At 38.9% G+C, this 26,232-nt stretch overlaps 1 protein-coding gene across 3 annotated transcripts; it reads right to left on the bottom strand.

Annotated features, from left to right (window-relative positions):
- Positions 1 to 1,482: 1,482 nt before the first annotated feature.
- Positions 1,483 to 25,584, bottom strand: GBP6 (guanylate binding protein family member 6). 3 transcript variants are annotated; one of them, NM_198460.3, is made up of 11 exons: positions 25,516 to 25,584; positions 20,902 to 21,114; positions 19,970 to 20,097; positions 11,431 to 11,540; positions 11,030 to 11,226; positions 9,012 to 9,257; positions 7,669 to 7,949; positions 6,767 to 6,979; positions 5,889 to 5,991; positions 5,357 to 5,550; positions 1,483 to 4,413 (listed from the first exon to the last, which is right to left on the bottom strand). In NM_198460.3, the coding sequence occupies exons 2-11, from the start codon at positions 21,089 to 21,091 to the stop codon at positions 4,174 to 4,176; spliced, it is 1,902 nt and encodes a 633-aa protein (NP_940862.2). In that variant the 5' UTR covers positions 21,092 to 21,114; positions 25,516 to 25,584; the 3' UTR covers positions 1,483 to 4,173. The 3 variants fall into 3 exon arrangements, with proteins under 3 accessions (NP_940862.2, XP_011539137.1, NP_001307186.1); XM_011540835.4 differs by having other exon boundaries at positions 20,902 to 21,104; NM_001320257.2 differs by lacking the exons at positions 19,970 to 20,097; positions 20,902 to 21,114.
- Positions 25,585 to 26,232: the final 648 nt, after the last annotated feature.

Below are 26,232 nucleotides of genomic sequence, written 5' to 3'. Positions count from 1 at the left end.
AGCAATGGCAACAAAAGACAAAATTGACAAATGGGATCTAATTAAAGAGCTTCTGTACAGCAAAAGAAACTACCATCAGAGTGAACAGGCAACCTACAAAATGGGAGAAAACTTTCGCAACCTACTCATCTGACAAAGGGCTAATATCCAGAATCTACAATAAACTCAAACAAATTTACAAGAAAAAAACAACCCCATCAAAAAGTGGGCAAAGGACATGAACAGACACTTCTCAAAAGAAGACATTTATGCAGCCACAAAACACATGAAAAAATGCGCACCATCACCGGCCATCAGAGAAATGCAAATCAAAATCACAATGAGATACCATCTCACACCAGTTAGAATGGCAATCATTAAAAAGTCAGGAAACAACAGGTGCTGGAGAGGATGTGGAGAAATAGGAACACTTTTACACTATTGGTGGGACTGTAAACTAGTTCAACCATTGTGGAAGTCAGTGTGGCGATTCCTCAGGGATCTGGAACTAGAAATACCATTTGACCCAGCCATCCCATTACTGGGTATATACCCAGAGGATTATAAATCATGCTGCTATAAAGACACATGCACACGTATGTTTATTGTGGCACTATTCACAATAGCAAAGACTTGGAACCAACCCAAATGTCCAACAATGATAGACTGGATTAAGAAAATGTGGCACATATACACCATGGAATACTATGCAGCCATAAAAAATGATGAGTTCATGTCCTTTGTAGGGACATGGATGAAATTGGAAATCATCATTCTCAGTAAACTGTTGCAAGAACAAAAAACCAAACACTGCATATTCTCACTCATAGGTGGGAACTGAACAATGAGAACACATGGACACAGGAAGGGGAACATCACACTCTGGGGACTGTTGTGGGGTGGGGGGAGGGGGGAGGGATAGCACTGGGAGATATACCGAATGCTAGATGACGAGTTAGTGGGTGCAGCGCACCAGCATGGCACATGTATACATATGTAACTAACCTGCACAATGTGCACATGTACCCTAAAACTTAAAGTATAATAATAAAAGAAAAATAAATAAAATAAAAGAAAAAAGAAGAAAACCCCCCAAAAAAATTTTTTTTCTGAGTTCCATGTCTTCTAAAGAGTCATTGAACCTGAGGATGGCCTTGGGGTCTCTTGATCCCACTTTGTTGTCAAAATGGGATTCACTAGAATGTCTCTGAATCATTGAAACATGGCAAAAGCATGCTCAGAAAAGGAAGGATGAGTGGTGCTTATAAGGTGGTCTTATTGTGCCCCGACTGAATAGTGTCTTAGTCTTCTTGAACTATAGTCCTTAGATAACATTGAATGGGATTCTTGTTAAAAGCATCAAAGATATCTGAAATAGATCTATCCAGTTTTGAAAGTATCAGATTTGACCTGATATGCAATACAGGATATTGAAAGCTCTAAAATTGTCTTCATTTCTTTACAGATCTGGGTGAACCACTCTATAAAGCACAGAGAAAAATTCTTTCTTTGATATAGTTTTATAGAGACTGTGATACATGAAGTTACAGATTTGTGTGAGGTCATAGGTTTGTCTGAGTCACTGTATAAAGCACAGAAAAAAAAATTCTATCTTTGGCCCAGTTTCACAGAGACTGTAGGACATGAGGTCTAGAGAAGGACACTATACCAGGAAAATTTATTTTCTTCTCATAGCTTTAATTTAGTTTAATTTTTTGAGACAGAGCCTCACTCTGTCGCCCAGGCTCTGTTGCCCGGGCTGGAGTGCAATGGCACAATCTCGGCTCACTGCAACCTCCACCTCCCAGGTTCAAGTGATTTTCCTGCCTCATCCTCCTGTGTAGCTGGCATGACAGGCGTGTGCCACCACACTTGGTTAATTTTTGTATTTTTAGTAAAGGCAGGGTTTCGCCATGTTGGCCAGGCTGGTCTCAAACTTCTGACCTCAAGTGATCTGCCTGCTTCGGCCTCCCAAGTTGCTGAGATTATAGGCGTGAGCCACTGCACCTGGCCTCATAGCCTTTAAACCACCTCAGAGACCTTAATCTGGTGTCGAAAATTCAAACAACTTATTACCACTGATCTCTGGAAAGTTCATGATATTTTATCAATTGAAAATAATCACCCATGCATCAGCCTATTGTTTTTATAAAAGAAGCTTATTTAGCACAACCTATGCCTGAACATACTCCCAAGGAGATGTACAGAAAAATAAGGTATCTGTCTTCAAACAAACTTTACCTTTACATTTCAAACAAATACTATATTGCAATAAGTTCATGTGTGCCAAGACTATAATTACAACCTGGAGGCCCTAATTCCCTATTTTAACAGGCATTTTACGATGACTCTCCATGATCTAGGTACCATGGGCAACTTGGATCCTGATTCCAAGGGTCCTTGAAATATTTGGGTGTTTGTATTTCCCTAGTATATGGATATCTAGTAAATGGCTCCAGACGTTTCCTAGGAGGAGAACTTGGGAAATCATTATCATTTATTTGGGTCCTGGAGTTGCAGTGTCCTTTCCTGGGGTACTGCCCTCCACTCCAACTGAGTTCAGGGTCTGAAATTAGCTCAGATCAAGGCTATGGATGTGACACTTTATCAGGGCTACCTCTCAACATCCTGATAGACAGCATTTACTTCACTTGATTGTTTTCTCCCCATCCCATTTAACCCTATGGCTGGTCCATTGTATTGACCATCTTCAGAATTATCTCCATCAGGCCTTGCAGTCTGCCACTCATTACTATAACTGAATCTTCTTAGATTCTAACAATTAAGGGTCAACACCAGGCCTCTATGTGTCTGGGTCTATCATCCCCCATCAGGGGGTTCAGTTCTGGAAAGGCACATTGTCCTTTCTATCTGAGGCTACCGCAAAAAGACCACTACTGACAAGGTTGGCAGGATCCTTCCTATCAGTGCTTAATCTTAATGTTTGGTAATTTATGCTTCTAACACCTTAAAACTTGAATTCAGAGAAAGGAAGTAGAGGCTACTGTAGCTGAGATTTCAAAGGCCACAGAAAAGTGTATGCCTTAGTCTCGAAACAAATAGAAGGGATCGAAAAACCAGGCCAAAATGAAAACAAGAATATGATGCAAATTTTTTGCATTCTAGTACTCAGATCTTAGTCTTAGACCCCTCATTGGGCTGGCTGATGTAATTCCTAGAAGCAACAAGGAATTTCATCATCTGATAGCCAATTTCACTATTTTTTTATTGTTATCATTATTAGCATTGTCTCTTACATTTTCTTATTTATTTCTGAATCGGTAAAATAAGATTTCTTTACAAAATTCAAGAGTATAAAGTGAAGAGTATGTGTTCCTTCAACCCCTACATTCACTTGGTTCTTCCCAGAAGGAGCCAATAATAATAGATTTTGATTAATCTTTCCAGAGATATATTTGCATGCTTCCATATAATAATTGCATTTTTTCCATGCTGATAAGATAATCTACATTGCTTTACAACTTGGTTTTTTTTTTTTTCATTTTACAATGTCTCTTCAAGACCATTCTTTACTGGTACAAATAGAGCTTCATTGTCAATTTGTTTACTGGCTATATAATATTCCAGTACATGCACATACTAAAATTTATCTTACCAATCTAATGTGAAGGACATTCAAGTACATTGCAATATTTTGCCATTAAAAGCAATGCCTCAGTGGACCTCTTGTATGTAAATGATTTTTCAAAATTATATTTCCTAAAAGTGAACAAAGTTTTTCAAAGTGTGTATGGATCTGTTCTCTCATGTGGGCCAGGCACTGATATCCTCTAATAAGCACTTTTTATGTTTAAAACTTTGCTAAATGAGGGCTGGGCATGGTGGCTCATGCCTGTAAACCCAGCACTTTGGGAGGCCGAGGCGGGTGGATCATTTGAGGTCAAGAGTTCGAGACCAGCCTGGCCAACATAGTGAAACCCCATCTCTACTAAAAATACAAAAATTAGCTGGGTGTGGTGGTGTACACCTATAATCCCAGCTACTAGGGGGCTGAGGCAGGTGAATCTCTTGAACCCAGGAGGCAGAGGTTGCAGTGAGCTGAGATTGCACCACTGTACTCCAGCCTGGGCAACAGAGTAAGACTCTGAAAAAAAAAAAAAACTTGCTGAATGAAAATGAAAAACATACAGATCAAAAATAGTCCAAAGCATATATGTACAATCTATAATATCCTTAAAAGGGGAGCTTATGCTTTTTAAAGAGTGAGCTCACACCTTTGACACCATGACCAATTAATTTAGCAGGAGCAGACAATATTGCAGTTAGCTCATCGGCAAGGTTGTCCAAGGTTCGTGCAATCCAGGGAGTATCATCATTTTTTGTAGTATCAATCATACGTTTAAATTGACTTATCTCTGCATTCATCTCCTCATACTTCTTCTTAAATCCTTCATGAAGCCAATCATTTTGGACCTAAAGACAATGTAGGAAGGAAAGTAAATTTTTAAAAATCCCTATTCTTTTAAGACTTACATTTTGTATTTAAAACCTGTGTGAAACTTTATTTTACTCCTAAAAACATTTTCTCAGTTATTAGAGGAGAATTTGGACCTAGACATTGTGAGGAAGCATAGTTTATAACTTTACTAATATCCACCCACCATTATGGTTTTGCTATGGTGCTAACCTAGGTATGAGGACAAATTCTACATGTTCCTGCCCAAAAGATGCCAGTTAGGAGGTAGCCATTGGTCTGATTGCATAAATTCTCAGTCCCAGTTGGGCAGCATGGTCACCCATATTGTAGGAATACCAAAAACTTATAAGCTGATGTAGAAATCCCTTATGAGAGAACTTTCAGATGGACAATGCAAGAATTCTCCCTACACTGTGTGCTAATTTGGGCAGGCTACCTATACAGGGTGACAACTGCAGCAAGTTTAGAAACTGTCCCTTTCCTGTCCTTTTAAGTCTGGAAATTTCTAAGAGTTGTATGTCAGCATGGATCTACCTCAGGGTGTTTGGATGGTACTAGAGCTCCTGGTAATATGTGGTCTTGGTGAAGGAAACCAGCTGCTGTTCACATCAAATACACTGTGTGGAACATATGTTTAACTTCTTGAGATTACTTTTAAAATCTCCCAAAACAGCAGCTTCGACCCTATTTATATTCCCCAAGGACTTGTAGGGATCATAGTCAACCTTACCTCTCCAGAATCTAAGTATAGAGAATATAGAGAAGAATTCCAAGTCTTACTGAAACAATTAAGAAAAAAAGGATTCAGGGCTTTTAGTGATTGCCAAGCAGCAAATGGTGATGTGCTTCCTTTCATGATGTTGCTGTAACCTTCACCAGCCCTTCCTGAGGTACCTGGGTGAGGACCGTCTGGCCTGCTGAGGCCAAGGGCAGACTTACCTTCTGCGTGTGCTCCAACATCATAATCTGCTCTCTCAGTAGGTGTTCTCTCTCCATCTGCAGCTTCTCCTTCAGTTGGGCTATGTTTTCCTTGCGACTCTTATCTTGAGCCTCCATCTGTTGCTGCTGCTCCTGTAATTTCTGTTTTAAAAGTTCCTGTTCCTTCTCAGCTGCCTCCTTCTTGGCCCGATCCACTGCTCCATGAAGGTATTAGAAAGAGAAGAAAATAATAGGTGAAGATTCATCTCCACTTTTCTGAGCTGAGACTAAACCAAATCTGAAAGGCAGGGTGAGAAATCACAGAATTCACCCAGGTCCACACCATTAAGAGCGCATTTGAGAATGTGATGGGAAAGGCTCTGCCTGTCTGGCTGATGTACAATCATAGCTCCCCTTGTTATTTTAAGATTTAGCAGAGTGTGTGTTCCACAGAAGAGGAAATTCCTCATTTTGGGAAGGTTTTCCTGTTAGATCTGTTAGAGGGCATTGTATAAACGTACCCCTCCTGTGTAAGCTGAGCCCTGCCCCATACCTGCTACTGCCTTCTCTCTATCAGTGAGGGCTTTATCTGACTGCAAGATGGATTCCTCTATCACCATCTGTGACTCCAGGAACCTCTGGAAGACCTCTTTTGCCTATGGAAGGAAGAAAAAGCACTTAGATTTCTTTGAAAATCTATGTTCTGGGTATTAGTGTTGCAAGAACAATTATGGTCTTGTAACTTTTGCTTTATGCCTAAAATTCTAAAGTGGCCCCCTACAAAGTGTGCGGGCTCTTTAGGGTGACCAGAGCCCCTCCTCAATTCCTGCTTCCTGTCTCCCTCCAGTGCCTTTCCCACTGCTGTAATATCTCCCTGTACCCGTTTTGGGTTCCGGCCAGGCAGAACTATGTGCACAGGTGTACAAACTCCCAATCTCTGATGCTTATACATGTCTGTCTTCCAGTGTGCAATGCTGCCTCTAATCTATGCTGTTGCTTTCTCCTGCCACTTGCTGGCTAGAACTTTAGGCAAGTTATGTAATCATCCTTGGGTACTAAGTTCAGATCTGTAAAATTTCCAAATAAAGGTGCTTCTTAAAGTCATTAGGAAGATGAAATTAAAATGTCTGGGGAAGAATTTAACAGTATACTGTAGGTAATAACAGCTCGTGAGTTAGTTGTATTATTACTACTATTATGTTTATTACCACCACCTAGGTGGTAATTTTCATTCTGTCTCTCCTGGATTTCTGAATACTATACTCTTTGTTTTGGAATAAAAATTTTTATTCTAAGAAATAAATATTAATTAGTGGACATTGAAAGCTAAGGCGTTATGCTATCCCTCTGCTCTCTTATTACCCACGGCTGGTGCTGAAGACTCCATTCACTCTATCCTATAAACTTCCCCATGCTCCCCTTATTCCTTACCTTTACTCCTTTCCTGGGAACTTGCCAATAGTCCTGTTCAATCCTTTCCTTTGTTTCCATGTAGAGCTTGTGCCCTCCAGGAACAGAGAAACTTCCTGCTGAGATACTTTCCATTAGTCCCTTTGAGAGCTCATTGAGTTTAGCCTGGCAGTATTGAACAGATGACTCTTCATTCTGCAGCAAGAAATCCCCCTTCTTATTCATTGTGGTTTCCTGCAAGGGAAATGTAGAGAGATGTCACCAGAAGAAACATGGAGGAGATGAAATTCTAAAGAATCTGGTGGTAGAGTCAATCTAACTGTGGTCCTCATGAGAAAAACATTCTAGTGGAGTAGATGTGGAATCAGAAACACAAAACTTCATACATTTACAATGCTAGAAATTCTCTTCAAGGCTATGGAAAAGTTCATTAATCTTCCTGAGCTTCAGGTTCCTTATCTGTGACATGATGAGACTACATTCCATAATCTCTATGGTTTGTTGCAATGGTATCATCCTGTGTTCCTGTCCTCAATGGTACAAGGATACAAGAAGGAGCAATGTAAGTTGAACAATGGCCCGGAATTACGATCTGGTAAGAGAATCTTTGTTTCCTGGGAAAGGTAAACTATGCACAGAAAAAGTGCACTGCTCAGGGATGACTTGTGCGTGTTCAGAGCAGGCCTGGAATCCTTAGAAGTGTTCACTTGAGGATCTTAAGTGATCTGTATTGATTTTACCTCAGTTATCAGAAGATTTTCTAGTTAAGTGCTTATATGTAGTCTTTTGAAACTCTATCCCTCATGAGAATCCACAATAAGTTATTCCTCAGTGACAGATGAGCATTGGTGACAATAAAGGCAACTATAGGCTTCATTCTTCAAGGGGAAGGATGATGAACAGTAATGACTAAGGCAAATTACCATGAACTTCTTCTGGAATTCCTGATTTTCATCCTTGAAGGAGTGCTCCATGAAGATTGCAATGGCTTCCCTCTCACAGGCCGCATGCATGTCCAGCAGCTCCTGGAGCGTGTCTGTGGGGAGCTTCACTCGCTGGGCCATCTGCTGGCTGTAGTAGTCAGCTGCCCTCTGCACGGCCGCTGAGTTCTCACGCTGGGCCAGAGTTATCACTGCATTCTCCAGACAAGGCACTGCTCCACTGTTGATGGCCTCTACATAAGTCACTGCCAGAGTTCCCAGACCTAAATGAACCAGGAGATTTAGGGGCTAAATATGAAATTAAAGCTCAGTGGGATCCTAGGCTACATTTCTGAGCACACACATGCACTTACATACACGCGCGTGCACACATGCAAACACATACACCCACATCCCTACCTCCTTCTGCTATTATCACTCTTATTTTCATAATGACTCTTCAATTTTATGGATCTCCAGTCCACAGTGCTAAAAAATTTAAATATCTACTTGTATCTAACATACTAGAGGGTATGCAGGAAGTACAATTTCTCATTTAAAAAATTACAAGAAAAGTAGTTTACACAGATAAAATGAGGCAGGGTAAATCATATCACATTTATTCCTAATTCTGAAGCTACCAATGTATTTTCAGGGAATTATGGGCTAATATTTATTTATTTCTAGACTTTTTTTTTTTTTTTTTTTTTTGAGGCCCAGGCTGGAGTGCAGTGGTGTGATCTCGGCTCACTACAACCTCCGCCTCCCAGACTCAAGTGATTCTCCTGCCTCAGCCTCCTAAGTAGCTGGGAATACAAGTATGTGCCACCATGACTAGCTAGTTTTTGTATTTTTTGTAGAGATGGGGTTTCACCATGTTGTTCAGGCTGGTCTCAAACTCCTGAGCTCAAGCGATCTGCGTGCCTCTGCCTCCCAAAGTACTGGGATTACAGGTGTGAACCACCACCCTCAGCCTTCTAGAGGTTTTTAAACTTGAACATATCTTTTCTATTCTCTTGGCAAAGAATACTGAACACATAGGACTTAGAAAATATTTCCCCTAAGAAAATATTATAGATGTTTTTATATTCAGTTAGTTATTTTATCAGTGGGGGATTTTTTTCAGATATGTGGAAGCCACAGATATCAGTGACAGAGTTTGCAATATTGGAGAGGAATTTGTAAATTGCAATAAGTGTGATAATTATACACATTTCTTCACTGAGTGTGAATACCTGTATACACGTAGTTTTTCTATATGGAATCTAACAAAAATTCTGAGAAACACATTATACAATATATTCAACACACATGAGGCCCCACAGAAAAGTAAAAAGGAGACTCACGATTCCCAGTGACTGTGATTCCCTCCCTGAGGGTCTTGGTTCTTGCATGAGTGAAGATGTAAGAACAGAAAATGTTTGTTTGTTCCTGGAATTTGGGATCCAGTTGCTTTTCTGACACCTTCTCAATATTGGCTAGAAGGTCTTTGTCATTTGTTGGCCGGTCAAAGACGAAACACTTCCGTTTTGGAAAGAAACGCCTGATGCACTCCCTGGGAAAATTGGATGTTTGAACTCTGGGATTATTGCCTGAGGGATAAAAAAAAACAGAGAATATAGTGAAAACAGTCTTGGTATAAGGGAGCTAAAGGTATTTTTGATAGGGTGTATTGTCTTTTTGCCATCTTCTATGCTTACAGACCTCCTTTAACATAAAAATTAAATACTTCTGTGCACATTGATGCTAAAAGAATTTGTATAATGTTAGCTATTTTTTAGTAAAATCCTCTGAAGACTAAATGTAACAAGAATATAATCTTGTATTGTTTTGTTTTTTCGAAACGAGGTCTTGCTCTATTGCCCAGGCTAGAGGGCAGTGGCACAATCACGGCTTACTGCATCCTTGATTTCCTAGGCTCAAGTGATCCTTCCACCTTAGCCTCTTTAGTAGTTGAGACTACAGGTGTGCACCATGACACCAGCTGATTTGTTCTAGTTTTTATAGAGACAGGGTCTCACTATGTTGCCCAGTCTGGTCTCAAACTCCTGAGCTCAAATAATCCTTTCACCTCTTCCTTCCAAAGTGCTGACACTACAGGTGCAAGTCACCTTGCCCAGCCAAGAAGGTAGTTTTAAGATAATCATCACTTCTTTATAAACTCTTAAAAGACTGTATTCGATTTGACAGTATTGCTCTTCTGCCTATGAATTTTTAAGAAATGTTTCAAGAAAGCATAAATAGAAAAATGAAAGCAACAACGAGTTCACTGGAATTGATATTTCTCATAAGGTTTTATCAGATACACACTCAGATAAATGTAACCCATTAAAACAATTATTATGAAATTCTAGCATGGATACATATGTTGGGTTTAAGAGAAAAATCATAACATAGAAAGTAAAATGAATATTCCGACAATTATCAGAAATTTTGAAAAGGCACAGATTGTAAAGACGTGCTTCTTCAGGTTGCTTTAGAAAACAAAATCATTTTTGTAGATGATATAACTATATGGATATTGAAAAGTTATATCCCTCCATGAGAAGAATAATATCTGTGTAACATGTTGATGTATTTTGGATGTGTGTCCCCTCCAAATCTCATGTTGAAATATGACCCCCCCCCCCCAATGTTGGAGGTGGGCCTAGTGGGAGGTGTTTGGGTCACAGGGGCAGATTTCTCATGAATACCTTGTTACCATCCTTGTGGTAATGAGTTCACACAAGATCTGGTTGTTAAAAGTCTGAGACCACCCCCCTCTGTTGTTCCCTTTCTCACCATGTGACACACCAGCTGCCCCCTTCACCTTCCACCATTAATAAAAGCTTCCTGGGGTCCTGACTAGAAGCAGATGCTGGTGCCATGCTTGTACAGCCTGCAGAACTATGAGCCAAATAAACTTCTTTTCTTTATAAATTACCCAGGCTCAGGCATTCCTTTATAGCAATGCAAAATGGACTAACACACACATTTATATTTTTATTAGATAGGCTTTTCATTGTAATTTCATGTCTAACAATTATCTGGTCAATCATTTTCTAAACACAGAAAAGCAGAGGGCAAAACACAGATCACAAGCATCTTGTTATTAGAAAGTCTTAGCACCCATTGTAATCTGAATGCTGAGGTACTAATTGTACAAAGAACAAATCTGTCTTGAATAATTTATCTGCACTTTAGACTCTACTTTTCTTAAGTGAACTAGGCTCCATTCCTAGAGCTCTTCAACATACCCCTCAGTCCCCGTTTCTACAGACCTCAATCTAGTCTCAAATACAAATGAAACCCCAGAGATGATGGGCAGTGTTTAGCAGATCACACACCCAGTGGACCACCCACAGCCCAGGCCACATTCTGATACCTTGAATCAGCTTCAAGGCATTCTCCAGGTATTCATCTTCTGTGATAGGGTGACCGTTCAACTTCAGCTCCAGAGTGAAATCCCGTACTGTCCAAAGAAAGTCTGGGAAGAAACTCACAAACTCTGTGGAATCTTCTACTCCATCAGGCCTTGGGGAGGACTTTGCCTTAATTAGTTCTGTGAGCTCCGTCACATAACTAGGACTTAGGTAAGGAAAAGCAACTGTCTGCCCACAATTCACACATTTCTTTTATAAAAATATTATAAACACTCTCTTTTGTCTTGGGTTCCCTGTGCTGCACCACAGGTAATTACATCAAAGGGAAGGAGGAAATGACTTGATCTCCATTCCTATAAAGTCAATGAAACCTGGTGGTTCTGTTCTGTTCCTGGAAGGATACTGCAGCTGCTCCAGGGCCTGGTGGTTGATGGTGCTCATGCTGTTGTAGACAAAGGTGCTGCACAGGAGCACAGCCAGGGCAAAGATCCAGGAGTCATTCTTAGGGTCACCCTAAAAAGCACATTAGAGCAAAGGACTTAGGAGTGTAGTCTTTAGAAATTCACTGAGACATTTATTTTGTCAGTCTTTCACTTATGATTTCAGCTAATGTACTTGCTGTACAAAGAACATAGACATGAATGTAAACAACAGTTTGTTACAATATGTCTTCTAATCACAATTTCTTTACATATAAAAGGATTCTAATCTTCATAGGGTTTTTCTTTTCCTCAGTTGGATGAAATAAGATGCATATATGGAAAAACTAGTACAATATCTGGTTTTCAGTTGGATATTCATGATGAGTGTTAACACTTCTTCAGTCTACACATATTTATTGGCCATGCATCACATATAAAAACCATACCATAGTATGCATAACTGGGGATTGTAATTATATTCAATTAAATTCAGCAAACACTTATAGGAAACTGAAGAATGTTTCTCACTGTTCTTATGTTTAGAAAAGCAAATTTAATAAATTTACTGTCATGATGACTATTTCAAAGCTGTGACAAACTTTCATAATGATGAATTCAATAAAAATGGCAATATTTATAGATAACATCTTAGTAATGTACATAAGAAGTGGAACCCATAGCTATAATGTTAAATTAAAAATTACAAGTCTATCCAGGAAGATAAGAGCTATGAAAATTGAAGAGTGTATGTGATATGAGGGTTTCCTGGAAGTCACGAGCTGAATGTTAAAAAATCGATAGAATGTGGATTTGAAGAAATGAAGGTGATTCTGCAAGTAGAAAGACCCACAGAAACAAAATTAGAGATTGTAGATTTCAGGAGTCTTTGCAATAAGAATAGAGTTTATTGGCCTGACTGAGCAGAGGGTAAGTGCAGAAGATAAGACTGAATAGGGAGCTCCAGTACCTGGTTGATTAAGGACACTAAAGGTCAGGCTAAATTTGTTTTTATAAACTATAGCATGTCTAAATTATACATAGTCCAGGAATTATTTCTATCCTAAAAAGCATGTGTAACTGGTTCCTAAAGCAAATATAAAAACTGAGATCTAGAGATTTCTACATAATTCCAGGAGATTCTATATGGGATTTTGGAGGTAGGAAGAATAGCCTATTCATTTTTTTATGTCCCCCACTCCTTAATTTTTAAAAAAGTAATCAATGAGGATTCTTCTTAGAAGTGGGACTCGTGACAAACAATAAACTATTTAGACAGGAGTATATCACTGTTTGATAGACGACTTTAAAGTTTCTATAAAAATCCCAAAGACATTTTGTTTATTATTATTCTTTTTTGTGGAGATGGGCTTTCACTATGTTGCCCACAGTGGTTTCTAACTCCTAGCCTCAAGCCACCTCCGCTGTCTCAACCTGGCCCCAATAATATTCTTAAATAAATATAAAAAAATCCTAAAATTAATACAGAATCGCAAAATGCTCTGAATAATCAAAGTAATCTTGAACCAGAAGAACAAAGCTGGGGGCATCATATTTCTTGATTTCAATATATATTGCAAAGCCACAGTAGTCAAAATAGTATGATGCTGGCATAAAAACAGACATATAGATCAATGGAACAGACTAGACAATGCAGAAATAAATGTATACATCCACAGCGAACTCATTTTTGACTAATGTGCTGAGAACTTATATTGAAGAAAGGATGGTCCCCTCAATAAATGGTGCTGGGAAAACAGATATCCACATGTATGCAGAAGAGCAATATTTGATCCTATTGCACACCATACACAAAAACAACTGAAAATGGATTAAAGACTTAAATGGAAAACCAGAAACTGGATCCAGAAATCCCACTGCTGTGTATATATCCAAGGAAAATGAAATGACTATGTCAAAGAGATATCTGTTCTTTTATATTTATTGCTGTACTATTCACAATAGCCAAGGCATGGAGTCAATCTGTTTCCATTAACAGATGAATGAATTTTAAAAAATGTGAAATCTATACACAATGAAATACTATTAAGCCTTCAAAAAGAAGGAAATCCTGTCATTGGCAACAACCTGGAGGAATCTAGAGGATGTTAAGCTAAGTTAAATAAGCCAGGCACAGAAAGACAAACACTGCATGATTTTACTTATATGTGAAATCTAAAAGAGTTGAACTCATAGCAGTAGAAAGTAGAATGATGGTTACGAGGGGCTAGTGGAGAGGGGAACAGGAAGGTTGGAAAATGTTAGTCAAAGGATACAAAATTTTAGTTAGATAGAAGGGGAAAAAAAAGATATGAAGCCGTAAAAATACCAGAAGAATATACAAGGAAAAAACTTGACATTGGTTTGGGCAATGATGTTTTTGGATATGACACCGAAAGCACAGGTGACAAAAGCAAAATTAGACAAGTGAGACTGCGTCAAATTAAAATGCTTCAGGTAACAAAGGAAACAATCAGCGGAGTGAAAATGCAACCAATGGAATAGGAGAAAAATATTTGCAAACCATATATTTGATAAGGGGCTAATATCCAAAATACATGAGGAACTTATATAACTCAATAGCAAAAAAAAATCCTTATACCTCATTAAAAATGAGCAAAGGTGCTGCAATAACTTATGCATGCATGTGTCTTTATAATAGAATGATTTGCGTTCCTTTGGGTGTATACCCAGTAATGGGATTGCTAGGTTGAATGGTAGTTCTGTCTTTAGCTCTCTGAGGAATTGCCATACTGTCTTCCACAATGGTTGAACTAATTTACACTTCCACTAATGGTGTAAAAGCCCACAGCCTCACCAGTATCTGTAATTTTTTGACTTTTTATTAATACCCTATTCTGACTGGTGTGAGATGGTATCTTACTGTGGTTTCCATTTGGATTTCTGTAATGATCAGTGATGTCGAGCTTTTTTTTCATATGATTGTTGGCCACATGTATGTCTTGCTTTCATTACAGCACTGTTCATAATAGCAAAGACATGGAATCAACCTAAATGCCCATCAATGATAGACTGGATACATAAAATGTGGTACATAAACACAATAAAATACTATGCAGCTGTAAAGAAGAACAAAATCATGTCCTTTTCAAGGACATGGATGGGCCTGGAGGGCATTATCCTTAGCAAACTAATGCAGGAACAGAAAACCAAACACTGCATGTTCTCACTTGTAAGTGGGAACTAAATGATAAGAACATACGGACATATAGAGGGGAACAACACACACTGGGGATTAGGGGAGGGTGTGGGAGGGGAAGAGGGAGAGAAGCAGGAAAAATAACTAATGGATACTAGGCTTAATACCTGGGTGATAAAATAACCTGTACAACCAACCCCCATGACATATGTTTATCTATGTAACAAACCTGCACATCTTGCACATGTACCGCTGAAGTTAAAATAAACAGTAAAAAAATGAGTAAAGAACCTGAATACACATTTCTCAAAAGAAGACGTACAAATGGCTAATATGTATATATAAAGGTGTACAAAATAGCTAATTATCAAGGAAATGCAAATTAAAACAAAAATAAGATATCACCTGACACATTTAAGATGGCTATTACCAAAGGAGTTAAAAATAACAATTGTCGGCAAGAATATAAAATAAGAGAACATTTGCTGTTTTTTGGAGTGTAAATTCATGCAGCTATTATGGAAAAAGTATGGAGGTCCCTCAAAAAATTAAAAATAGAACTACCATGTGATCCAACAATCTTACTTTTATGTATAAATCCAAATGAAATTAAATCAGTATTTTAACGAGATATCTGTACTTTCATATTTATATTTATATTTAAATATGGAAGTATGAATATTTAAATATATCCATAATAATTGCAGCATTATTCACAATAGCCAAGATATGGAAACTACCCGAATGTCCATCAATGCATGAACAGAAAAAGAAAATGTAGAGTACATGTATGTGCATTGCTCTAGTCCGTTCTCATGCTGCCCAATAAAGACATACACGAGACTGGACAATTTACACAGGAAAGAGGTTTGACTCACAGGTCAGCATGGCTAGGGAGGCCTCAGGAAACTTACAATCATGGTGGAAGGGGAAGCAAACACATCCTTCTTCACATGGTAGCAGGAGAGAGAAGAATGATAGCCAAGTAAAGGGGGAATCCCCTTATAAAATGATCAGCTCTCATGAGAACTTACTCACTATCACGAGAATAGCATGGGGAAACCACCCACATGATTCAATTACCTCCCACCAGGTCCCTCCCACGACATGCGGGGATTATGGGAACTACAATTCAAGATGAGATTTGGGTGAGGACACAGCCAAACTATCCATAGCATGCATATATATATTTATTGAATATATATATAATTTATATATTTTTATTATACTTTAAGTTCTAGGGTACATGTGCACAACATGCAGGTTTGTTACATATGTATACATGTGCCATGTTGGTGTGCTGCACCCATTAACTCATCATTTACATTAGGTATATCTCCTAATGCTATCCCTCCCTGCTCCTGCCACCTCACGACAGGCCCTGGTGTGTGATGTTCCCCACCCTGTGTCCAAGTGTTTTCATTGTTCAATTCCCACCTATGAGTGAGAACATGTGGTGTTTGGTTTTTTGTCCTTGTGATAGTTTGCTGAGAATGATGGTTTCCAGCTTCATCCATGTGCCTACAAAGGACATGAACTCATCATTTTTTATGGCTGCATAGTATTCCATGGTGTATATGTGCCACATTTTCTTAATCCAGTCTATCACTGATGGACATCTGGGTTGGTTCCAAGTCTTTGCTACTGTGAATAGTGCCGCAATAAACATACATGTGCATGTGTCTTTATAGCAGCATGATCTATAATCCTTTGGGTATATACCCAGTAATGAGATGGCTGGGTCAAATGGTATTTCTAGTTCTAGATCCTTGAGGAATCGCCACACTGTCTTCCACAATGGTTGAACTAGTTTACGGTCCCACCAACAGTGTAAAAGTGTTCCTATTTCTCCACATCCTCTCCAGCACTTGTTGCTTCCTGACTTTTTAATGATCACCATTCTAATTGGTGTGAGATGGTATCTCATTGTGGTTTTGATTTGCATTTCTCTGATGGCCAGTGATGATGAGCGTTTTTTCATGTGTCTGCTGGGTGCATAAATGTCTTCTTTTGAGAAGTGTCTGTTCATATCCTTTGCCCACTTTTTGATGGGGTTGTTTGTTTTTTTCTTGTAAATTTGTTTGAGTTCATTGTAGATTCTGGATATTAGCCCTTTGTCAGATGAGTCAATTGCAAAAATTTTCTCCCATTCTGTAGGTTGCCTGTTCACTCTGATGGTAGTTTCTTTTGCTGTGCAGAAGCTCTTTAGTTTAATTAGATCCCATTTGTCAATTTTGGCTTTTGTTGCCATTGCTTTTGGTGTTTTAGACATGAAGTCTTTGCCCATGCCTATGTCCTAAATGGTATTGCCTAGGTTCTCTTCTAGAGTTTTTATGGGTTTAGGCTTAACATTTAAGTCTTTAATCCATCTTGAATTAATTTTTGTATAAGGTGTAAGGAAGGGATCCAGTTTCAGCTTTCTATATATGGCTAGCCAGTTTTCCCAGCACCATTTATCAAATAGGGAATCCTTTCCCTATTTCTTGTTCTTGTCAGGTTTGTCAAAGATCAGATGGTTGTAGATGTGTGGTATTATTTCTGAGAGCTCTGTCCTGTTCCATTGATCTATATCTCTGTTTTTGTACCAGTACCATGCTATTTTGGTTACTGTAGCCTTGTAGTATAGTTTGAAGTCAGGTAGCATGATGCCTCCAACTTTGTTCTTTTGGCTTAGGACTGTCTTGGCAATGTGGGCTCTTTTTTGGTTCCATATGAACTTTAAAGTAGTTTTTCCAATTCTCTGAAGAAAGTCATTGGTAGTTTGATGGGGATGGCATTGAATCTATAAATTACCTTGGGCCGTATGGCCATTTCCACAATATTGATTCTTCCTATCCATGAGCATGGAATGCTCTTCCATTTGTTTGTGTCCTCTTTTATTTCATTGCACAGTGGTTTGTAGTTCTCCTTGAAGAGGTCCTTCACATCCCTTGTAAGTTGGATTCCTAGGTATTTTATTCTCTTTGAAGCAATTGTGAATGGGAGTTCATTCATGATTTGGCTCTCTGTTTGTCTGTTATTGGTGTGTAAGAATGCTTGTGATTTTTGCACATTGATTTTGTATCCTGAGACTTTGCTGAAGTTGCTTATCAGCTTAAGGAGATTTTGGGCTGAGATGATGTGGTTTTCTAGATATACAATCATGTCATCTGCAAACAGGGACAATTTGACTTCCTCTTTTCCTAATTGAATACCCTTTATTTCTTTCTCCTGCCTTATTGCCCTGGCCAGAACTTCCAACACTATGTTGAATAGGAGTGGTGAGAGAGGGCATCCCTGTCTTGTGCCAGTTTTCAAAGGGAATGCTTCCAGTTTTTGTCCATTCAGTCTGATATTGGCTGTGGGTTTGACATAAATAGCTCTTATTATTTTGAAATACGTCCCATCAATACCTAATTTATTGAGAGTTTTTAGCATGAAGAGCTGTTGGATTTTGTCAAAGGCCTTTTCTGCATCTATTGAGATAATCATGTGGTTTTTGTGTTTGGTTCTCTTTTTATGCTGGATTATGTTTATTGATTTGCATATGTTGAACCAGCCTTGCATCCCAGGGATGAAGCCCACTTGATCATGGTGGATAAGCTTTTTGATGTGCTGCTGGATTCGGTTTGCCAGTATTTTATTGAGGATTTTTGCATTGATGTTCATCAGGGATATTGGTCCAAAATTCTCTTTTTTTGTTGTTGTGTCTCTGCCAGGCTTTGGTATCAGGATGATGCTGGCCTCATAAAATGAGTTAGGGAGGATTCCATCTTTTTCTATTGATTGGAATAGTTTCAGAAGGAATGGTACCAGCTCCTCCTTGTACCTCTGGTAGAATTCAGCTGCGAATCCGTCTATATATATTCAATCTCAAAAAAGGGAATTTTGTCATTTGCAACAACATAGATGAACACTGAGGTCGTTATGCTAAGTGAAATAAGTCAGACATAGAAAGACAAATACTGCATGATCTCACCTATTTGTGGAATCTAAAATAGTCAAATAGTTAAACTCATAGCAGCAGAGTATAATAGTGGTTGCCAGGGGCTGGGGATGCGAGAAATGAAGAAATGTTGGTGACAGAGTTCAAAATTTCAGTTATGAAAGATAAATAAACTCTGGAGATCTACCGTACAGCAGTGTGACTATAAGTAACAATACTATATTGATTGTGACCTTCACTTCCGCTAAGAGGACAGATCTTAATTGTTCTTACCACACCAAAAAATAAAAAGAGAGCATAGAAAAAAGAAAACGGTAACTATGTGAGGTAACAGCTATATTATTGGCTGGATTGTGGTGATCATTTCACAGTGTATACACATACCAAAACATTAAGTTGTACAGCTTAATTATATATAATTTTTATTTGTCAATTATACAACACTAAAGCAGAAAAATAAACAGAATTTCTAACGCCTGTTTGGGCAAAAATAAAGTGTATAGAAATTTAGAACCCATTCCCAAATAACTCTCAAAGTAAGATAATAAAAGAGAGAAATTATTTATTTCACCCATTCATAAGAAGCTAAATATCAAAAATTCATCTTATAATGTTTATTGTAGGAAGAACAAATACTTTTTTATGATGAGCACAATCAGAAATGTCTCAAAGCCTTCCAGAATGCTCTGTGGGTAATTGATGAGCTTCATCATGAGAAATATAAACTGAACTCTCCTAATTCCAACCCTCAAATGTACTCTTCACATGGTAGCTCAGAAGGTGGGTGAGAGGCCTCTCCTCATCTCCTGAGATTGGAGTCAATACCTCTTCTCTTTCTTATCAAAGCACTGTTATACACAACTGTATGTGGTGAAAGCTGTGAGGTGCTGCCTGGATCACAGGTGTCAGCTCTCTTAATGAGAAAGTTTTCCAGGGCAGACTTCCAGTGATTGACCAGCACCAGGGATGAAGGCCTAGCACCCTTGTCCCAAAACATGATAACTCAAAAGGGCCATTCCAGCCACAGAGTTCCCTATGGAATTGACAGAGGGCAGGGATTGCATTGCATTCCCATCTCCTCCCTCTCAGCAACCTGCTTCTTTCCCAGTCACACTACATCCTGAAGGCTCTTTGTGGGCAGGACCTTTACTTTGTTCACCAATGTCTATGCTACTCAGCCCCAAGGCCTGGAACTCAACTGCTTAACAACCTTTTATCAAATTGAATCAAATCATTCACCACTGTGCCAAGAAATAAAAGAATGTTTTACCTAATATACCATGATATCTAACCTTGTCTAGAAGTGTGATTCAAACAGGTCAAAGTTTGCCTTATTTGCTATAGTTGGATTTCTAGTTTGCACAAATAGATCACAACAGTTTAATTACAAGGATCACGTCTGGAATAAAAGGAACCTGTCTATGACTCTCTGTCTTACCTTTTCCACATCGCCCAGACCTTCGGTGTCCAGAAGGACCAGGGTGTGGTTTGGCTTGGATGGGTGGGGCACGCACCACATCCAGATGCCCTTGGTTTCAGACTGCACCGTGGAGCCCAGAGGGAAGCCTGCAGGGAAGAGGAGGAAGCTAAGCACAGGGACAGCAGAGCAGCCAAGCCGCCCTGGGGCCACAGCATCAGACTGGTTGGATTGTAACTACCCCAACATACATGATGGTCCTTTCTGTATTTCCTCAAGAATGGCTTACTTTGTGAATAATCTATATAAAAAAGCGAGGGACATTAAATGTGAGAATGATGCCAAGTAACGGCTCAAAATGGAGACAAAGAGAAATCTATGAATCAGACAAAGAGGAGGTCACTGATAACAGGAACATCTTGAAAAGTGGTGGGGTTCAAAGTCAGAGAAGAGTGGGTTGAAGAAAGACACGAGAAGGAAAAAACTCAAAAAGGGAAATTGAGATCTTTTTTTGCATTGAAAAGTGATTAAAAACTAAAACAAACACAAAAACAAAACAGAAGTTGGTGGCCACATGGGATGTGGAATTCAGGAAGCGTTTTCAAGATTACATAGATTAAAACATCTTTGTATGTTGATGGGAATATTACATGAGGAAAGCAAAATATGTTATAAGACAAAGGAGACACAATTACAGGAGCCCAGGACTTGAATACACAAGGGAAGGTAGGATTCTGGGCACTAGTAATGTAGAGTTTCCTTAATGGGAATGAGGGAAAAAATATGAGAATGGATTATCGTAAGGTAGTGGTTTGGTGGTAAGAATTGGAATGAGAAGGTTGGTTTATTGAAAGGAATTGGAGTCTACCTTCATGTGCTCTGGGGTAGAGAATCAAGAAGCTGAGATATAGCTGGAATCAAGCAACTGGCCTGTGTCCCAGGATACCACTTACCATGATTCTGTCCTGCCAGATGGTTCATCAAGTAGGATTTCCCTGTACGGTACAGTCCTACAATGGCCACCACCACCACTGGCTGAGAAATCTTTTCAAGAATCTGTATAGCTTGCTGGTTCACCAATAGCTGCTCATTGTTATTTTCCACCAGGCAAACGGGGGCCAACATTTTGGGTCCAGATTCCATGGCAACTGCCAACCTAGAAGAGCCTCCCAGTAGAAATAACGTTACATTGTCATTCTCTGTCTCAGTGTTTCCCAAGCACCCATCAACATAGGACTAATGAGACTTCTGTGTTTCTACTGGACAACATGTAATCTAGCATTAGCTGACTGCACAAGGCTTCTTTTATCACTCTCCCAAGTCTGTAATGATATTAAGTGATGAAACATGGAACATTATCTTCTTTAAAGTTTTACTTCAGTAGTACTATTAAAATCCAAGTAATTGTTACCATAATAGGGGGCCCACTAATACTCCAAGTCCTGTGATGCATGCCTTAAGTATCCAACCCCACTGACACAAAAATCTGCAAGTTGTAGATTATTATAGCCACAAATACACAAATGATATCACGAGTCTTACAAAGGATGAATGCAGAAATCATAGAACCCGGCTTACAAACCTGGACAATTGATTAAAATAGCAGGCTAGGAAGTTCTAAGTCTTTCTCTCCTTGGAGACATCACAAAACAACTTTAAAAAAATGGCTAAAATGATCTTATAGGAGCTCTGGAAAACAGTCATAAGTCTATAGCAACCAGGCAAATGTCCAATATTTTTAAAAGGCATATTCAAAATGGTAGGCGATTTCATGGCATTTTGTTTGCCAGTTCTGCCCACTCCACTCAGTGACATAGTCTTAGTTTGGAGGAGGTGGTTTTTCACTTCCCAGTTCTCTCCCTTGAAGTGGAGGGAGCAAAGAAGACCTTATTTGTAACACACTAACCTGACTGGGAGCTACCTGTTCTGGTTTCTGTTCTGCCTACCTTGGATTTCTGGTATGTCATACACAATGATTTCTTGTGTATGATATCAAAACCACTGGAAACAAGTGAAAAAAATTAGATACACCACACTTCATCATAATTAAAAACTTTTGTGCATCAAAGAACACTATCAACAGAGTAAAAAGGCAATCTATGGAAAGGGAGAAAATATTTGCAAATCATGTTTCTGATAGAACACATAAAGAACTCCTAAAACTCAATAGCAACAATAGCCAAAAATAAAAATTCAAAAATGGATAGAGTAGACTAGACGTTTATCCAAAGAAGAAATGGCCAATAAGCACATGAAAACATGCTCAACATCATTAATCACTAGGTAAATGAAAATCAAAACTACAATGAGGTACATGTTAGACCCACCCATTAGGACTGTTATTTTTTTTAAAAAGCCCAAAACTTCAAAACTGAAAACAGGTGTTAGCTAGGATGTTGAGGATTTGGAACCTGTGTGCACTGTTCATGGAATGCAAACTGGTACTGTCACTATGAAAACAGTATGATGGTCCCTTGGAAAACCAAACATACAATTAACATTTGATCAAGCTATTCTACTTCTACATATACACTCCAAAAAATTAAAGGCAGGGACTCACACAGATATTTGTACATCAATGTTTATGGCAGCATTATGCACAATAGCCAAAAGATGAAAACAGCTCAAATGACTCTAAACAGATGAATAGATGAACAAAATGTTGTATATACCTACAATCAGCTATTATTCAGCCATAAAAATGTAGGAAATTATGACACATGCTACAACATGGATCACCTTGAAGACATTATGCCAAGTGAAATATGCCAGGCGCAAAAGAACAAATATTGTATGAGGTACTAGAATAATCAGATACATTGAGACAGAAAGTAGAAGTGTAGCTACCATGGGCTGGGGGAGGAGGGAATGCAGAATCATTGTTTAAAGGTAGAGAGTCTCAGTTTACAATGATGAAGTTCTGGAGATAGCTGCACAACTAATGTCACCGAAGTATTTTCTTAATTAGTAAAATAGTAATTTTATTATGTATATTTTACCAACAAAAAAGAGAGTAAAAGACAAAAGCCTGGATAATCGGGCAACCTATTCCTCTGTGTTATGCTACTGCAACCACTTATCTGTCAAAATAACCTACCTCAAAGACAGTGGTTATGCTATAAGGTTTTTGATCGACAACCTGCAGTAACTTTTTAATGATCATCATATACTGAAACTTGTTCTCTAATGCATCAGTGTGACCTTATATGTTTGTCTTTTATCTACAGGTTTGGAAGAGTGATGGGAATAGAAGGGAGAAGGGAAAGGATCCACTATGGGATGAGAAAACTCTAGAGAATACAGGCTATCTTTCCAAAAGGGAAGCAGGAGAATGTCCAGAATCTAAAGAATTCAAGTACAGGCTGAAATACGTAGCCTAGAAGGGTCAGGTTCTCTGCAATTTACTCCCACAGACAAGAATAAGAAAAAGAATAAGAATAACAATACATATAATATTGCATATTATTTATGGAGATAAATTATAGATATCTAGAGAGAGAGAGAAATTATGTACATACATATTAATAGATAAGTTAGAGAGATTTCTTTTTGAGAGATAAAGTCAATGTCACTTTTGGGTGAATCGAGGTGAAAGGCATATGGGATTTAATTGTAATATTTTTAGAGGTGAAGTTTAATTCCATAAATTTAGTATTGAAAGTACAATTATTCTGTAGGTCTCCTGGCACATTTTTATTGCCATTATATTAAAATGGTTTTCTATGATACCTGTATTTCCTTATAATTAGAAAAATGTAAACATAATATTGTCTTCAAATGCCTCAAATACTCAGTTTAGAATTGATATGTCAGACACTCAAGATGCATCTAATGCCACCAAAAATACCAGCTCTATCATTCACTACTTATGTGGCCTTGACCAAGGAGGTCAAGCTAGCTGAGCCTGTTAATTATAGGGGTCTGTGAGTTAAATCATACATCCAACCTGGAGGGTGTTTTGATAATAAAACGAGACATTATAAGTTTATATCTTTGCATAGCATGCACCACACAATAGGATTTCAGTAAATGTTGAATTAAATGGAGGTTACTACAATAATTACAATAACAATTGGTCCATTAGATTATATATTTCAACAAAATATACAAACTATAAGTTACTAAGAAACAAAAACTACAAATAAATTTTTCACGGAAGCAAAACTGTAAAGTTCAAGCACGCTGTTGCTGTACAACCTGCTCTTGTCTGATTCTTCACTGAGGGGAGTAAGGAAAATGGAGATCAAACACGAGGTCCTGATTTCCACAGTGAAATGCATTGTAATGTGATGTGTAACGTGTTCATCACATTACAGTGACTGCAACTGTACAGTCCCTTCTTTAAAGTGAACAATAAAGGCAGCTCTAGGAAGATGTGGCTGCTCCTGCAAACAACTTTATATAAACCAGGTCTCTGGTTTCTTAGCTGTGTGGGAACCACAGACCTTTTAACTTCTACTAAATGAAATACAGCTGTTCAATCCTATTCAGGACTGGTTTTCACACTCTGATGTACATAAGAATCACCTGATCACTCTGATGATAGTTTCTTTTGCTGTGCAGAAGCTCTTTAATTAGATCCCATTCTCAGCAAACTAACACAGGAACAGAAAACCAAAAACTGCGTGTTCTAACTGGTAAGTGGGAGTTGAACAATGAGAACATGTGGACACGGGCGGCGGGGGGTTGGCGCTGGGGGTGGGGGTGGGAAACTCACACACTGGGGCCTGTCAGTGGGTGGAGGGCAAGGGGAGGGAGAGCATTAGGACAAATACCTAATGCATGCGGGGCTTAAAACCTAGATGACGGATTGATAGGTGCAGCAAACCACCATGGGACATGGTGGTTTTTAAAAAAATCTTTTTTATTTTAAACATAGTGTCTATTCTTCATCTTTTTTTTTTTTAAAGAATCAACTGAGAGGATTGTTCAAACCCAGATTCCCAGGCCTAAGTATCCATCTGTTTAGCAAGAGCTACAAGAGACTCTGATGTTCCTATGGGAAACTAACACCCCCCTCCTCCCCCACCCCCTCCCCACACACACATACACACACACACACACACACGCACACACAGAGTTTGGACTATATAATTATTTTTAAGTAATAAAGACCAGTGATGTGGGGCCTAAGTTTATTTCTACATAGAGATTTATAGAGCTCTTATTCTGAAGCTTTCCTAAGTGTGACCACTAGAAAGATAGACAAGAAACTCTCCCTTCCGGTATAATTGCCTGGAAGCTCCTTGTTCTCTGCATTCTGGGGCTTGCCGCAGGACCTGAGAGAGATAGCCAGGCAGGCGCCCACCAGGGCTCATTCCAGGCCACTCACTGCTGTCCTGAGTTGATGATCAGGGAACAGCACATCCAGGGGGACGCGGCGTGCCCGGCTGTCACTGGTTCAAGTGGAGAAGCTGAGCTTCCCCAGAACTAAAGCCAGCCACAGACTCCTGCAGGCCAGGCAGCAGGCACCCTGCCCTTCCTGCCCATTCCTCAGTTACCACTCTGAATCAGAAACCAAGTCTTGAGTTAGGAACTAAGTTGCATTTAAAAGAAAGTGAACATACCTGCTCTATAGCACCGCAGGTCCAAGAACAGTTTTCAGTTGCCTCACTCACCTCTTGTTTTCTTTCCTCCTTTTACTTTTCTGTTCTTTCCTTTATAAAAGGAAAAAAAAGCTGAGTAAGCTAGTTGTTTCCACAAATGGGATGGTGCAGTAAAAATAAACTTGGAAGTAAAATTAATCCATGCTTTTAATAAAGTGTTAGCAGAGCCATGCCTGAATCATCCGATGTGAGTTTGAGGATGGGTGTTGGGTGCAGGGGTGGGAGGAGGTCAGAAAAAGCCACAGATACTGCACAGTCACACCTTAGCAAGCACAATCCTGCCAGCTTTCTTTTGTCTTTCCCATCTTAGAAGGCTTCACAGGCTTTCTTCTTGATACCGTTCCCAGGTGGCTTTAGTTTCCTAGGCACACAAGAAAAACAGGAAATCTACAGTAGTCACATAAGCAAAGCCTTAGAAACCAAGAATATTTTAAGCATTTTTCTCTTAGTGGGAATTCTTGAGTTCTGGGGTCTTTTGTTAGTGAAGAACTTTTGATATTTTAAATGTGTTCACACATGCACACACACACACAGAAGAGAGAGAGAGAAAGAGAGAGAGCTAAAGATATTACTGGTTTAAAAAAAGAATGAACCATGTCTTTTACAGCAACATGGATGGAACTGGAGTTCATTATCTTAGGTGAAACAACTCAGAAACCGAAAGTCAAATACCACATT

Source organism: Homo sapiens, chromosome 1, assembly GCF_000001405.40.
Source record: "Homo sapiens chromosome 1, GRCh38.p14 Primary Assembly".
Taxonomy (NCBI): Eukaryota; Metazoa; Chordata; class Mammalia; order Primates; family Hominidae; genus Homo; species Homo sapiens.
This window is presented reverse-complemented; position numbering and strand designations above follow the sequence as displayed.

Bases quoted from the DNA above. Each gene is read 5' to 3' on its own strand.
- GBP6 (NM_198460.3), bottom strand. From the start codon at position 21,091: ATGGAATCTGGACCCAAAATGTTGGCCCCCGTTTGCCTGGTGGAAAAT. The intron at 11,227-11,430 runs GTATCCTTCCAG...CCTAAGTCCTAG, and splicing joins CAGGCCCTGGAGCAGCTGCA to TTATGTGACGGAGCTCACAG. The intron at 5,551-5,888 runs GTATGGGGCAGG...TTCATGGAGCAG, and splicing joins TAGAGAGAAGGCAGTAGCAG to TGGATCGGGCCAAGAAGGAG.